Source organism: Homo sapiens, chromosome 5 (assembly GCF_000001405.40).
Source record: "Homo sapiens chromosome 5, GRCh38.p14 Primary Assembly".
Classification (NCBI taxonomy): Eukaryota; Metazoa; Chordata; class Mammalia; order Primates; family Hominidae; genus Homo; species Homo sapiens.
This window is the reverse complement of record NC_000005.10, coordinates 158,771,435-158,783,631: the sequence shown is the minus strand read 5'-3', so window position 1 is coordinate 158,783,631 and position 12,197 is coordinate 158,771,435. Positions and strand designations below refer to the sequence as shown.

The 12,197-nt window shown below is 38.2% G+C and overlaps 1 protein-coding gene across 28 annotated transcripts in view; it reads left to right on the top strand.

The window, feature by feature from the left end:
- Positions 1 to 12,197, top strand: part of EBF1 (EBF transcription factor 1) — a 403,997-nt gene that overhangs the window by 316,285 nt on the left and 75,515 nt on the right. For all 28 annotated transcript variants that reach the window (NM_182708.3, NM_001324108.2, NM_001324106.2 and 25 more), the window contains one exon: positions 6,093 to 6,219. In NM_182708.3, coding sequence (NP_874367.1) covers positions 6,093 to 6,219 — 127 coding nt within the window. The remainder of the gene's footprint in view (positions 1 to 6,092; positions 6,220 to 12,197) is intronic.

The window sequence follows — 12,197 nt, the reverse complement described above, 5'->3', positions numbered from 1 at the left end:
GAGAAAATGCTCACACAGGCAGCTTAGAGGGAGCAGAAGTGTTGCTGCCGGCAGGTCCCTGGCATGCTGACAGCCTCACCTGGAGGCCTGCAGAGATTATGTGTGTTTCATCTTACTGCCACATAGAAAAATTATTTCTTATGAATATAGTATTAATGCATTTTTATTGTTGAGCAGTTGGAGAATTCAGAGAAGCATACAGAAGAAAGTAAAATTACCCATACCTCTACCATCTAGAGGTAACTTCCATTAACATTTTGAAGTTTTTCCTTTCTTCTGTGCAAATACGCATCTAATTCTTATATAATCACATGTAATACATATTGCCCCAAACTGATGTTATTCTACTTTTTAAATAACATTTTTCTCATAATAAAAATAATGGCTTTATATGTACAAATAGGTTTATTCCATAATTATTTACATGATCCAGTGCAAGTTTGGGACATTTACACACACAGAAATACATACACATAGGAGGAAGAGGCAGACAGAGAAGACAAATCACACTGAATGTTATCAGTCCAGAAATAAACACTCTTACCATTTAGCAAAGATCTTGTGTGGCATACTTTTTAAGTATTAATTTTTAAACCTTTTTTTTTTCATTTCATCTTATCATTTCTCACTGGAGTTACAGACATTTAGACATCCTTTTCTTTTTTACCACTTACATGATATACAAGCAGTGGTCTCAAGCTCATATTGAGATCTGAGTGTCGAGCTAGTCAGATAACTAACATTAAAAGCAACTTAGGTAGAAAACAAGAGTTGAGTATTATCAGGTTAAGAACAGTAGACTCACCTGGACTCATGGATAATGATTATGATACCCAGTGGAGTCAATGATTTAGTAGAATTCTGGCCTAATTTATGTAAATATTTATTCCAGAAATATTTTGAAAATATCTTGTATGTAAGTCATTAACTACTTAATTTGTTTTTTATTTTATTTTATTTTATTATTTTTTCTGAGACAGTCTTGCTCTGTTGCCCAGGCTGGACAGCAGTGGCACAATCACGACTTACTGCAACCTCGACTTCCTGGGCTCAAGCAATCCTCCCACTTCAGCCTCCCAAGTAGCTGGGACTACAGGCGCATGCTGCCATGCCTGGCTAATTAAAATTTTTTTTTTGTAGAGACAGGGTCTTACTTTGTTTCTCAGGCTGGTCTCAAATTCCTGGGCTCAAGTGATCCTTCTGCCTCAGCGTCCCAAACTGTTGAGATTACAGATGTGAGCCACCACACCAGGCCAAGTTAACTACTTTAGAGGTTGCAAATGTGAATTAGACTGTGTTCCTGATCTCAGGAAATATCTAATGAGAGAAAGATGTATAGGACACTATTTATGGCACAAAGCAAAATAGGCTGCTAAGTATTATAGTATCAATATCATAACAGTATAAATTCCTCAAAAATGCAGGCAACTTTCACCCTTAGGATCAGGTAAAACTTACTGGAAGAGGGAACGTATGATTGGGGTCTTCAAGAACAAGTAGAATGTCAGTAGAAGAATGTTTAGGAAAGAATGGCATGGAGAAAGCAAAACTGTTGGGCAAGGGAATGGTGTTTTCGTGTATCCACATGCCCTTTACTCCAATATGTGGTAAAGCAAAGTGGGAAGTGTGCCTAGGAAGGGAAACTGGCCATCAGGCCTTGGCGAACCCTAAATATTATTCTGTCAAGGAGTTTGAACTATGTAATAGGCAAAGGGGGCAGCTGAGGGTTTGGTTTGAGGCAGGGCATAATATGATGAGATTGTATTTGAAGAAGATAATTATGGTGGAAAAAGTAGAAGTAGAGGGAGACCATTTAGAAGGCAATTTTTCCTACTGTTGTAATAGTGTAAGAAACAGTGACAGCCTGAACAGGAGAAAGAGAAGAAGCAGAGAAGAGCCAGTGGGGCCCAGTTTGGGGCAGAATCAATATGACTGAAGAAAAATAAAGGAAGAAAAAGAAATAATGATAAACTCAAGTTTTCTGTTTTGGGTAATTCAAAGGCTAACATTCCTTTAACTGAGACAGGAGACACAGAAACAAGAAATATATTTACAGGTAGTAAGATGATAAATTTAGCTTGGGTCATGTTGAGATTGAGATGGCAAGAAGACTTATTTGGGGAGATTCTGTTACTCTGTTGCTAATAAAATTTGATGCTTAGCCAAAGAGATCAAGTCTACAAGTGTAGATTTGGAAATCAGTTTAGCTGAGGTGGCTGAGCTAATGAGTGAAATCAAGAAGTGCTAGGCAAATAGAGAAAAAAAAAGAAGACAAAACTTGTGATATTTCTACAACTAACAAGTTGACAGAAAAGTGGAGCAAATGAAGAAAACCAAAATAATCAGGAATCAATGAATAAGAGAAGATATCTGGAAAATACTTCTTTATAAGTATAAGAGATTGGTTTTCATCCAAGTGTTTTAAATAATATTAACTTGCCTGACCATCAACTTTTCTCATCTGAAATACATAAACCACAAACATGATTTTAAAAAATTAGTGAACATGAAAGTGCTTTGGTAAACCATCAGACACTTTGCAAGTCTTACGTCTTATGATTATTGTCTCATAAGAAAATGGAGTGTTCCAAGGAAGGGAAAGAGTAGTGGCAGATGCTACAGAGTTTCAGAAGAATATTTATTTCTAGCCCAAATTGTTTGGCTTGTAATTTAAGGAAGTTAAGTCAAAGAATGAATCTGTTCTCTAATCACTTAGAACAGTATTTACCAAAGTAATGGGGCATGGGTCCTTGGTAGTACAGGAGACATTTTTAGATTTGACACAGACATGAAATAGAACTGAATCACACTGTGAGAAAGTTAGTCTCCTTTTGGTTTCTCTTTTCATCACTCCTTTTGTTTCTCTTTTAATCTTTGTTTTATTCCATAATTATGATTTTTATTAAAGGGATAAAGTCTCAGGGCAAAAAAGTCTTTAATATTTAACACTAGCTAATCACCCTTTTCAATAAATTCCTTCAGGTTGTCAACAATATCTAGCTATAATTTATATTAACTTCAAGATTAATATCTACAATACCTTCTTATTTTGCAGTTGATATCAGTTTTCCAATTATGGTAGTGACATAAAGTTTTCTTTTAAAATAAGTTTTTTAAATAAAAAGATAATCACTTTTTAAATTATTAAGTATGTAATTGTATAGGTGGTATATAGATATGACAAAACTAAGAAAGTGATATTCCAATGATGAAAGTTTGAAAAATTTAGACTAGCCCTCCCTCCTTCTGTTGCTTTGAGTGGCTGCCTTGGGTTCAACCAGGCTGGAACAATGTGTGAAATTTATTTTGTGATTTGTGGGTCCGGAGTTCTACACCCTAGATCTAGACCCTGTCCCTCCTCTAGCATGTTGGGTCAATTTTCGGAGCCACCAGACATTTCTAGATTTTTGTGTCCTTATCTGTCAAAATAAGAAGATTAGCTTTAAACTATCACTAGCATTCCTTCCAGCAATAAATTCTACAGTTCTTTGAGTGATTAGTAAATAAGCCTGTGCTTTCAAATTGATCAAAGTTAGCTAAAATGTTTTTCCTCCATAAGCATCAATATCATGTGTCAATGCTAGAGATTCTTCCCAGACTAATATTCACAGCTAGGAAAACATCAACAAATTTATTCTCTATTATGATTCAGATTCTACCTCATCTGTGAAGGATTGTTGTTTAGAAGGAATCTCTGCTTTAGTTAGGGCAATTAATTAAAATTGAAAATGAAATTGTAAATGAAAATTTGTTTGCATTTCCTGAGCCTAATGCTTTATGCTAAAGCCTCACTCTCAGTCTGTAGTTTTATTGCAGTCATATCTAATCAATTTATAAAGCCCGTGAATTTTGTTCCTCGGTATAGCAACTCATACATATTAAGTCCCTATACTTAAAAAGAATCTTCATCCATCTATTTACTAATATCTTTCCATCTTTTAAAATTTATTTCCCCTGAGAACAAGGAGAGCAGGTGAAGTGTTTTCTAACTGGCTGAAAGTTCTTATCAGTATTATTGTGAGTTAATGGTACTCTATATCCCAAGTACGTGTTAAAATTAGAAGCATACCTTCTATTTGAAATATAACAACATGGAACATCCTTTACCACCAAAAGCATGGCAAAGCTCCAGGCAATAAATGAAAAATGGAGAGAGCATAGGTACAGAAAACACACACACAAAGTCTTTGGATCAGAAAAAAACTGAGTTTGTTACTACCTTTAAAAAGCTTCTATATGAACAATTTTTTTCTCTATGATTACAAAGGAAGTGTTTGTCCCGTGACTTTTTTGAACTGCATCAGTGTTGCCTTTTGCTCTGACTTGCTATGACAAGGGTAAAGTTGCTTATGCAACAACTTAATTTTAAGATTCTGTTTTCTCACCTGAAAAAAAAAAGGATAAAAATACAGTCATTGTTCTGACCAAATTAGTGTTTGTATGTAAAATATCCAGCAATGTGGTAGATACCTCCTGGGTACTCTACAAGTTTTAGTTCCCAACATTGCAGTAACAGTGTCTCAACAATTAACATGCTCTTGATTTGGGGAAGATCATCTTTCACTGCCCTTCAGAGCCTCTTTCTTCTTATTCTCTCTACATTATTAAACTCGATTTCCTGATTTCCATGCTCACAGATTACAAGAGCAAATTAGAAGGTGCTAAGAACAACAGGAAAAAAAAAGACAAAGAAGCGGAATAAAAGAGAAATAATTTCAAAATCTTAGAAACCTGGAGCCATTTAGTACAGGGATAAATAGTTCTTCATACCTCAACAGTCATTTAGGGCTTTTTTATATTACAAGATATAATACAGGGTATTTGTAATTGCTAAGTTAAAATGGTTTTTATGCAGATATGACTTTTTCTTGTTTCAAGAAGGAACATTTGATATAAATTACTTGTGGGCTTTAGCAATAACAACTTTCTCAAATTATTTTCCCTAGGACTTGGTGTTAGAACAGTTTATCCAGTCAGGGACCCATTGGCCGCATCCAGCCTCTCATGGTGTTATCTGTGATTCTCTGGGCAAAACACTCAAACTGGGCCTGGTTTGCACATTGATATAAGAGCCCTTTCTAAGTTATCCCCATGAGAACAGAACAAGCATGTTAGTTTAAACTCATGTATACTGTATAAATTATCCACTGTATGCAGTGGACTCAATACCACAAATATTGAGCTAACTGCATCTGAAAGGAGTCAAAGAGTAGACAATTGCAGAATCCCATAGAAAGAGAACATGTAGAATCCAGCACCATCAGAGGTCAACCAGTCAAATACCAGGGCTGGATTTTTCAAAGAACCAGATAATGCCAGTTTTATGGCCATTAATAACATTTTAGTTATGTAAACAAAGATAAGAGTAATACAAAATAAATTCTGCTTCATGGTGTAATCTGATTGCCAACAGAGTTCAGAAATGAACTTTCTCATTGTGCACGTGGCATTGCATAATGGACCAGTGATCATTCCGCAGCCTCCCCAGCCTTCCCTTTCCCTTTCCCTTTTATGGAGAGTCCTTAGTTCTGCTAGATCCATAAGCTATTCCAGGGAGGCAGATTCTTTGCTTTCCCCTGTAAAGCTCTTTGATTGTGCCTCTGGTAGTTAATACACCAAATGGTCTTCAGGGGTACTTCATACGTGCACTCCGCAGCTAATCACAGTGCCTTGGCCTGCTGTTTCCCTACCTCTGTGTTTTCCACATGTTGACAGGCTCAGTTCAAACACCAGGCCCATCAGCTTCTGGAGAGTCACGGCAAAGCTCGGCTCTGATTTGGGTGTCTGCTTCAGAGATTTTCCAAAGGATATCCTGTAGTAGATAAATCATTTCATTAGGCCAGGTTCCCTGTTCAAACCAGGAAGCAGAGGGCCTGCCATGTAGGAAAACCCAGATAATATTGTTATGGCTGTACTCAGAGCATTTGTAAATATTGTTGTCAGTGTCTTTCACGCAGGTTCCATCAAGATTGGATTTAAACATAGACAGGTTAATTATGTGTTTTAAAGCTTTGTTTATGGAGAGCTATTAGGAAGACTGTGAAGTTTTAACTATTGCAATGACAATTTTTCCCCCCAAATGTCTCCTCCAGTTGATCACTCCTCATGCCATCCGTGTGCAGACCCCTCCTCGGCACATCCCTGGTGTTGTGGAAGTCACACTGTCCTACAAATCTAAGCAGTTCTGCAAAGGAACACCAGGCAGATTCATTTATACAGGTAAGAACCACAGCACATGGTGAGCACAGAACTGCCGTGGTCTTGTGGGGTCTTTCCCCTTATCTTGTCTGTATAAAAGCATGTATTTTATTTTAAAATCTAGTTAAAGCCTGCTTTCTTTCTTCATTTTACCATATGTATGACCAAACATGGTGCTTTTATTATTGTATTAAGAATTCTTCTAGGTGTCCATGTTGAATGGCGCGTTCTGTTGAAATAACTGGTTGGATACCTAAAGATGCCACATGAAAAATAAGAGAAGGGGAAAGAGGTGTAGCTAGTCCTGAGTTTCTGGATGTTAAGCCACCTTGTTAGGGTTTGTTGGCTTTATGGAGTAGGTTTGTGCTTTCATGAACAGTACGTCTTTCCTCTAGCCTGTTCACGGCACTTGTATTACATACAATTGGTAGTTTTCATATTTAATTCTGGGTTGGTGCCTTCTTTCCAAGTATGCTGCATTTTTGTCCTCCCAAAACAGCCTTGGCACATGGATCCGCCTTGCGGCAAGAAGCTAGGGTTTCAGAGTGAATGTGAATTCCCTCCCATCAGACAGAGAGAACCAGGCAGCATCTCTGTGGAATGACATCAAGTATAAAGGCTGAGTGCCCAATGTGTACGCTAAGAGATCCCTAGATTGTGAAGTGCAAACCAAATACCCAGGGATCTTTTACAATTCACATTCTGCTACAGTAGGTCTAGGTAGAACCTGAGATCCTGTTTCTTAAGCAATCCCAGGTGAGGCTGATGCTGCTGCTCAAAGAACCACAGGTGGAGTGCGGTTCTGGGCCCTCTGCTTAGTGTCAGTCATCCTTGGATAGTGGTAGCTGTCTCCACGAACTAGTCCCAGGTTTCCTTTTCCATTCAGTAAAAGACCACAAGACCAGATTAAGTACAGAGCGGAAGTTGCTTTCACACAAAGAGATAACAGAGCAGTGAAGGGATAACAGTTAACAAATTGTAATTATAACCATACAATTAAGTGGACGAATTTTATTTTTCTGTGACATTTTACTTCAGAGCATCTTTCCCTTGTATTTCAATATTAGAAGTAAAACCAAACATACTTCTTAGTCACCCAGTTTCTCTCTCTCTCTCTCTCTCTCGAAATTATAAAAACAATTAATGCATCCTGACCCTTGGAAATGCCTCCCAGCCCTTTAAACAAAATGCAGGTTTGGTGCCTGCCTGACGATTAGTTTTAGTTAACTGAAAATTATAGGATTGACCCAAGAGGAAAATTTTGTTTGCACTCCAATCACTTTTACAAATTAAGGAAAATTACCACAATTTTGTTTAGCTAAGGTTTCACACTGAGTTCAAGAAATTAGCTCAGCCATCCCAACAAAGTCAGCACTTTGTTAGTGAGCACTTGAAAAAATAATAGTCTTTCTGGAGTTTTGTGGTGTATACAAACGAAGCGTAGAGAAAGCTATGATGCTTTATAGAAGTAGGCCAAGTGTTTTTAATTAGGCTCATTGGTTCAGCGTAAGTTTTGAAGAATAATCAAACTAGCAGATTAGCTGTTTCTTTTAAAGCTAGGATTTCTTGCCATTCATTTTTCCCATGAGAACTTCCACATAGCAGTGTGTGTGTGTGTGTGTGTGTGTGTGTGTGTGTGTGTGTGTGTGTCTGTGTGCATGTGTGTGTGTGTGTGTGTGTGTGTGTGTTTTACAAGTCTCATTATGGGGCTGCAGGAAAAGGACCAATTGAAACTTCTGATACTGTAACATTCCCCAGCATCATTCCAATGGATGGGAGTTTTTCACAATGTTCCCCCACTGAACTCGGTGTTCTGGAACATATTTCAAAACCACAGAGGCCAAATGTTTTCTCTGAGAAGTTTGGACTCTGTTTTTGGCCGAAAACATTAGGCCTCGCTGGCTGCTTATTTACTCAGCTATTAAGAACAAGAAAAGGAGAAGAAAAAGAAGAAAATGCTTGTGTGGTGGGAGGTACAGGAGGCAATCAGGCATGGTTTCCGCTTTGGTGACAACGTCCCTGCCCATTAATGGTTCCATTTTGTGGTCAGGTCTCATTTAGAAGAAATTATTTTTAATCAGTCTTCAACAAAATATCCCCTAGAGCCACCTGGCCATAAAAGTTAGAAAAAAAAATCACCCTCATTAAATTACTTAAGTTCTCAAGAGAAAAGAGCTAGGGATCCATCATTATTTGGAGTTTTTTTAAACACTAAAAAAAAAAATTGCCATCAGTTTAAGAAATCACATCTTAGAAAATCTATATCACACTGGAATTAAGAAAAAAGTGTTGGATTTTCAAGCCTAGAAAAGTAGTTAAGGGTAAGAGCAATAAGTTGGCGCATATGCACATGTATACATCTGTGGGAAATTTAAGGTATGAAAAAATGCTTCTGGTGATCTGGCCTCAAACTGTGGGCACCAGACAAGAAGCCTTTTTTTTTTTTTTTAAATATTCTAGAAGAGAGTTCTAACCTCTCCCCATATCGGAAAAATAAAAATCTGAAGAAATTGGCACAATGATTTCCCCTCTGGTATAGTTACTTGGCTGTTAACAGTTATTGTGACATCACATCATTTCTGATGAAAGGGAATCTGTGTTCATTGGTGACCTACACATGGACCTTTTGATCATTAGCATTAAATGCCTCTACCATGCGTTGCTTGTTCATGGCTGGGGCTACTGGCCTCTGTGATTTACTCAGTTTACCTCTGCTGTCACCACTTAATAGTAAGGGTATAGAGATGGCTCATAAAACCTCTCTGTTCTTTGTATCCAAACAACTGCTCAGATCATTGCAAATGTACGGCCCCCTCCTTTGTCCACCCACAGAAGTTCACACTTCATTTTCTTTAACATCCATAGTATTTCAAGATGTGAGGCTTGGTTTTCTGGATTGGGTGAGCTAACCCTCTTATTTGTTAGTGAAATATCACTTGGAATTTTTCCCTTGAAAAATATTATTGAGCTGAAAAGTAACACCCCAAACTAAGGCCTTATTGCTGTTTTTAAAGTATGCAAGAGAGAGTTGGCATTTGTAGATGTAAATGTCTCTAAAAGTCCATAACATTAAAAAAAAAGAAAAAAGGCAGGAACAGCATGGCCTAATCTATACTAATAAAGGCAGACCTTTTGGGGAGGGAAGAATCTGACCAAGCACAGATTGCCTGCAAGCTGGCTCCCCTTGTAAGGATGGTAAGCAAGCGTACATCTCTCCCTCATTGGTTCTTCAGACCAGAGACGCACGAGGAATCCATAGCTGCTAATGTGCCATGCCCTTGTGTTTGTCCAATCAGAGTCACAGACTCTGGAAAGTGAATCCTGACTGGATTAGAAGCAGAAAAGCTCAATAGCACTTTCTAGATCTTACTTTATTGTGTCCAGTTATTCTTATGTAAATGTAGGGCAAGGCTGACTTTAATTTTCAATAAATGTTTTCTAAGAGAAGGAAACAAAAACACTATCTAATCACAGGATTGATTTCAAAGCCCTATTATCGTTTCTGGTCAGTCCAGTGGGAATTAAATCCACTATAACCTCACTGCCATGTAAGGGCTCTCCCTAATACCTTTATTATTCTCACAGCTTGTTTTCTTGCAGGTGTTACATCTTTAAGTGGCTTGGATCTTTTCGAATCGTGATCTCTCCTGCTAATCCCTAAGTAGCCTTGGAAGCTAATAAAAGACTCTTAGGCACCTTTAGCTGCTTCCTCAAAGTTTTTGTAGTTGGTTTTCCTGATAAGAAGCGGCCAATTCCAAATGCATGTGTTGCCTTCATTCTAGTTATATTTTCTGTAAGAATTTTCATATATTCTCGGGGAATATATGACTGAAAGAATGGGACACCAGGACAAGGTTTGAGCAGCCTAGGGGTACCCTGAGAGCTGTACACCACCTGACCCCCCAAAAGTTGGTGAAAACCCTGATGAATGATCATCTAACAACTCAGATGTCTGGTTAGGTCACTTATCAGATCTTTTCTACCACTAACTTTTCCAATTCCAAACATTTTTCACCCAATTTCCTGTTCCTGTGGAAGGACTAACCCACATTCCTGTGTATTAGCCTGTGAACTAACTTCGAAATGAGAATTCTTCGTGGAAATACTTCCTGTTTGTACCTTGTGCCCAGAATAACTCCACATCCTTTGCCAATGCATAACACGTTGCTTTGCACATAGGAGGGGCTATTTTGTCTGCATATGCTCTGTGGAACTTGACATCTTTTACTATGACTTTTAAGTTTTCCGTTTTTTCTCCCTATCCCTCTTATTTTCTTCTTGCTCTCCCATCTCTCCTATCTCCCTTTCGCCTTCCTCTCTCTTTTCTTTACTCCCCTCATCCTTTCCTCCCTCCCTCCTAAGGGGATAGTACCTCGCATACTGATTGACTGCTTAGGTTCAAGATGATGGATATAGATTGAATTCTCAGATCTACCATTTACTAGAGAGGTTATCCTTGGGACATCATATGATGCCTCTAAACCACAGTCACCTTATCTTTATAAGGAAATAATAATAATACCTTGCTGGGGTTGTTTTTAGGATCAGGGAAACATATGTAAAGTTTTAGAATCATGGAACTGTATTTAGCATGAGGCTAGATACTAGTAGTTTCCATTAATAAATGGTGGCCATTATGATTCATTCCTTTGTTTCTGAGTCCCTACCAGGAGTAACTATTTTCCATGGATTGTTTATCATCCTTGTCATCTCCCTAGAAATCTAAGAAATGTCTTTTGGGATTTTTAGTAACACAACTATAGGCATCAGTTTAAAGAAACAAGTAACACCTGTCAACCCCAAATAAAAGGAGCAAAGTGTAAATAAAGTAGCAAGAAAAAGAAATGCATAAGTGTAAATGTAATAATTTGCTTAAAACAAATATTTTTGCAGGAATGCATCACACAGCTAATATTTTAATCAGATACTCCTGATTTGTAAAGTTCTCTGGTGTTAACTTTTTTAGGGAACAACACATGCTTGTTCTCTTATTTCCATCTCAGCCCCTCCTCTGGAGGTCCTAGCAACAGGAGTACAGCCTATCACCAACTGTCTTCAAAAGTATTTAGATTATAATCAGCTTCAACTCCAGCTTCCAGAGTTTTCACCAGAAATCTCTGTTTCTCATTCTTGGAAACCTCCTCCACAAAATAAAGGCTGCCACCTTGGGCTTGAACAAAGTCATTGGTTTTAGGGAAGAAGTGGAGAGTTTGCACCTAATGGATCTCCTGCACTTTAGTCTTTTCTTACATAAATTCTTTGTCACAGTACGCTCTGAATAGCCACTTTCATGTCATTACCCTGCAGAGAAACCTTCCCTCTTTGCTCACTGTATGTAAGACGTAGCCCAAGTCCCGAGTTTGGCTCACTGTGCTCTGGGGCTAGGGCTTATGATGCTCCAGTCAAACCAGTTTCCTTGCTGTGCCTCCAGCTCACTTTAGCTACTTTGGGCATGGTGATTCACCTGAAGGATCCAGTTCAAACTCTTACCTCTCTGAAGTGTTCTCTGACCGCTGTGGTATAGTGGACAGAGCCCTGGGCTGATAGCAATGAGGCTTGCATCGTATCCCAGCCTTGCTACTCGCTAGCTGTGAGACAAGTTGCTTATGTGCTCTGGACTCCAGTCTCTTCATTGTGAAATGAGTCAGTCGGACTGACTTTGGTGCTCCCTGTAACTCATCTTGATTGACTGGGAGAGTCTCTGTCCTTGAATCTCTTTTGTCCCAGGTGCTAAAACCATCCCATTCATCATTCACTTCCTTTTGTCCTTAGTTCTCTTGTTCTGTTCATAGGTAGACAAATCATAAAAAGTCCACAAGCTTCATGAAGAAATAGAAACTCTTCCTCAATCTTATTTTATACACTATGTTGAAGGGATTTGGCTCAGCATTTTACTTGCAATAGGTGCTATCATTGACATATTGCCCAGGATCAATGGGTCTTCATTGATTTTTGTCCTCTGGATAACATGGAATGTAAATAAGAGCTGTTAATTAAGA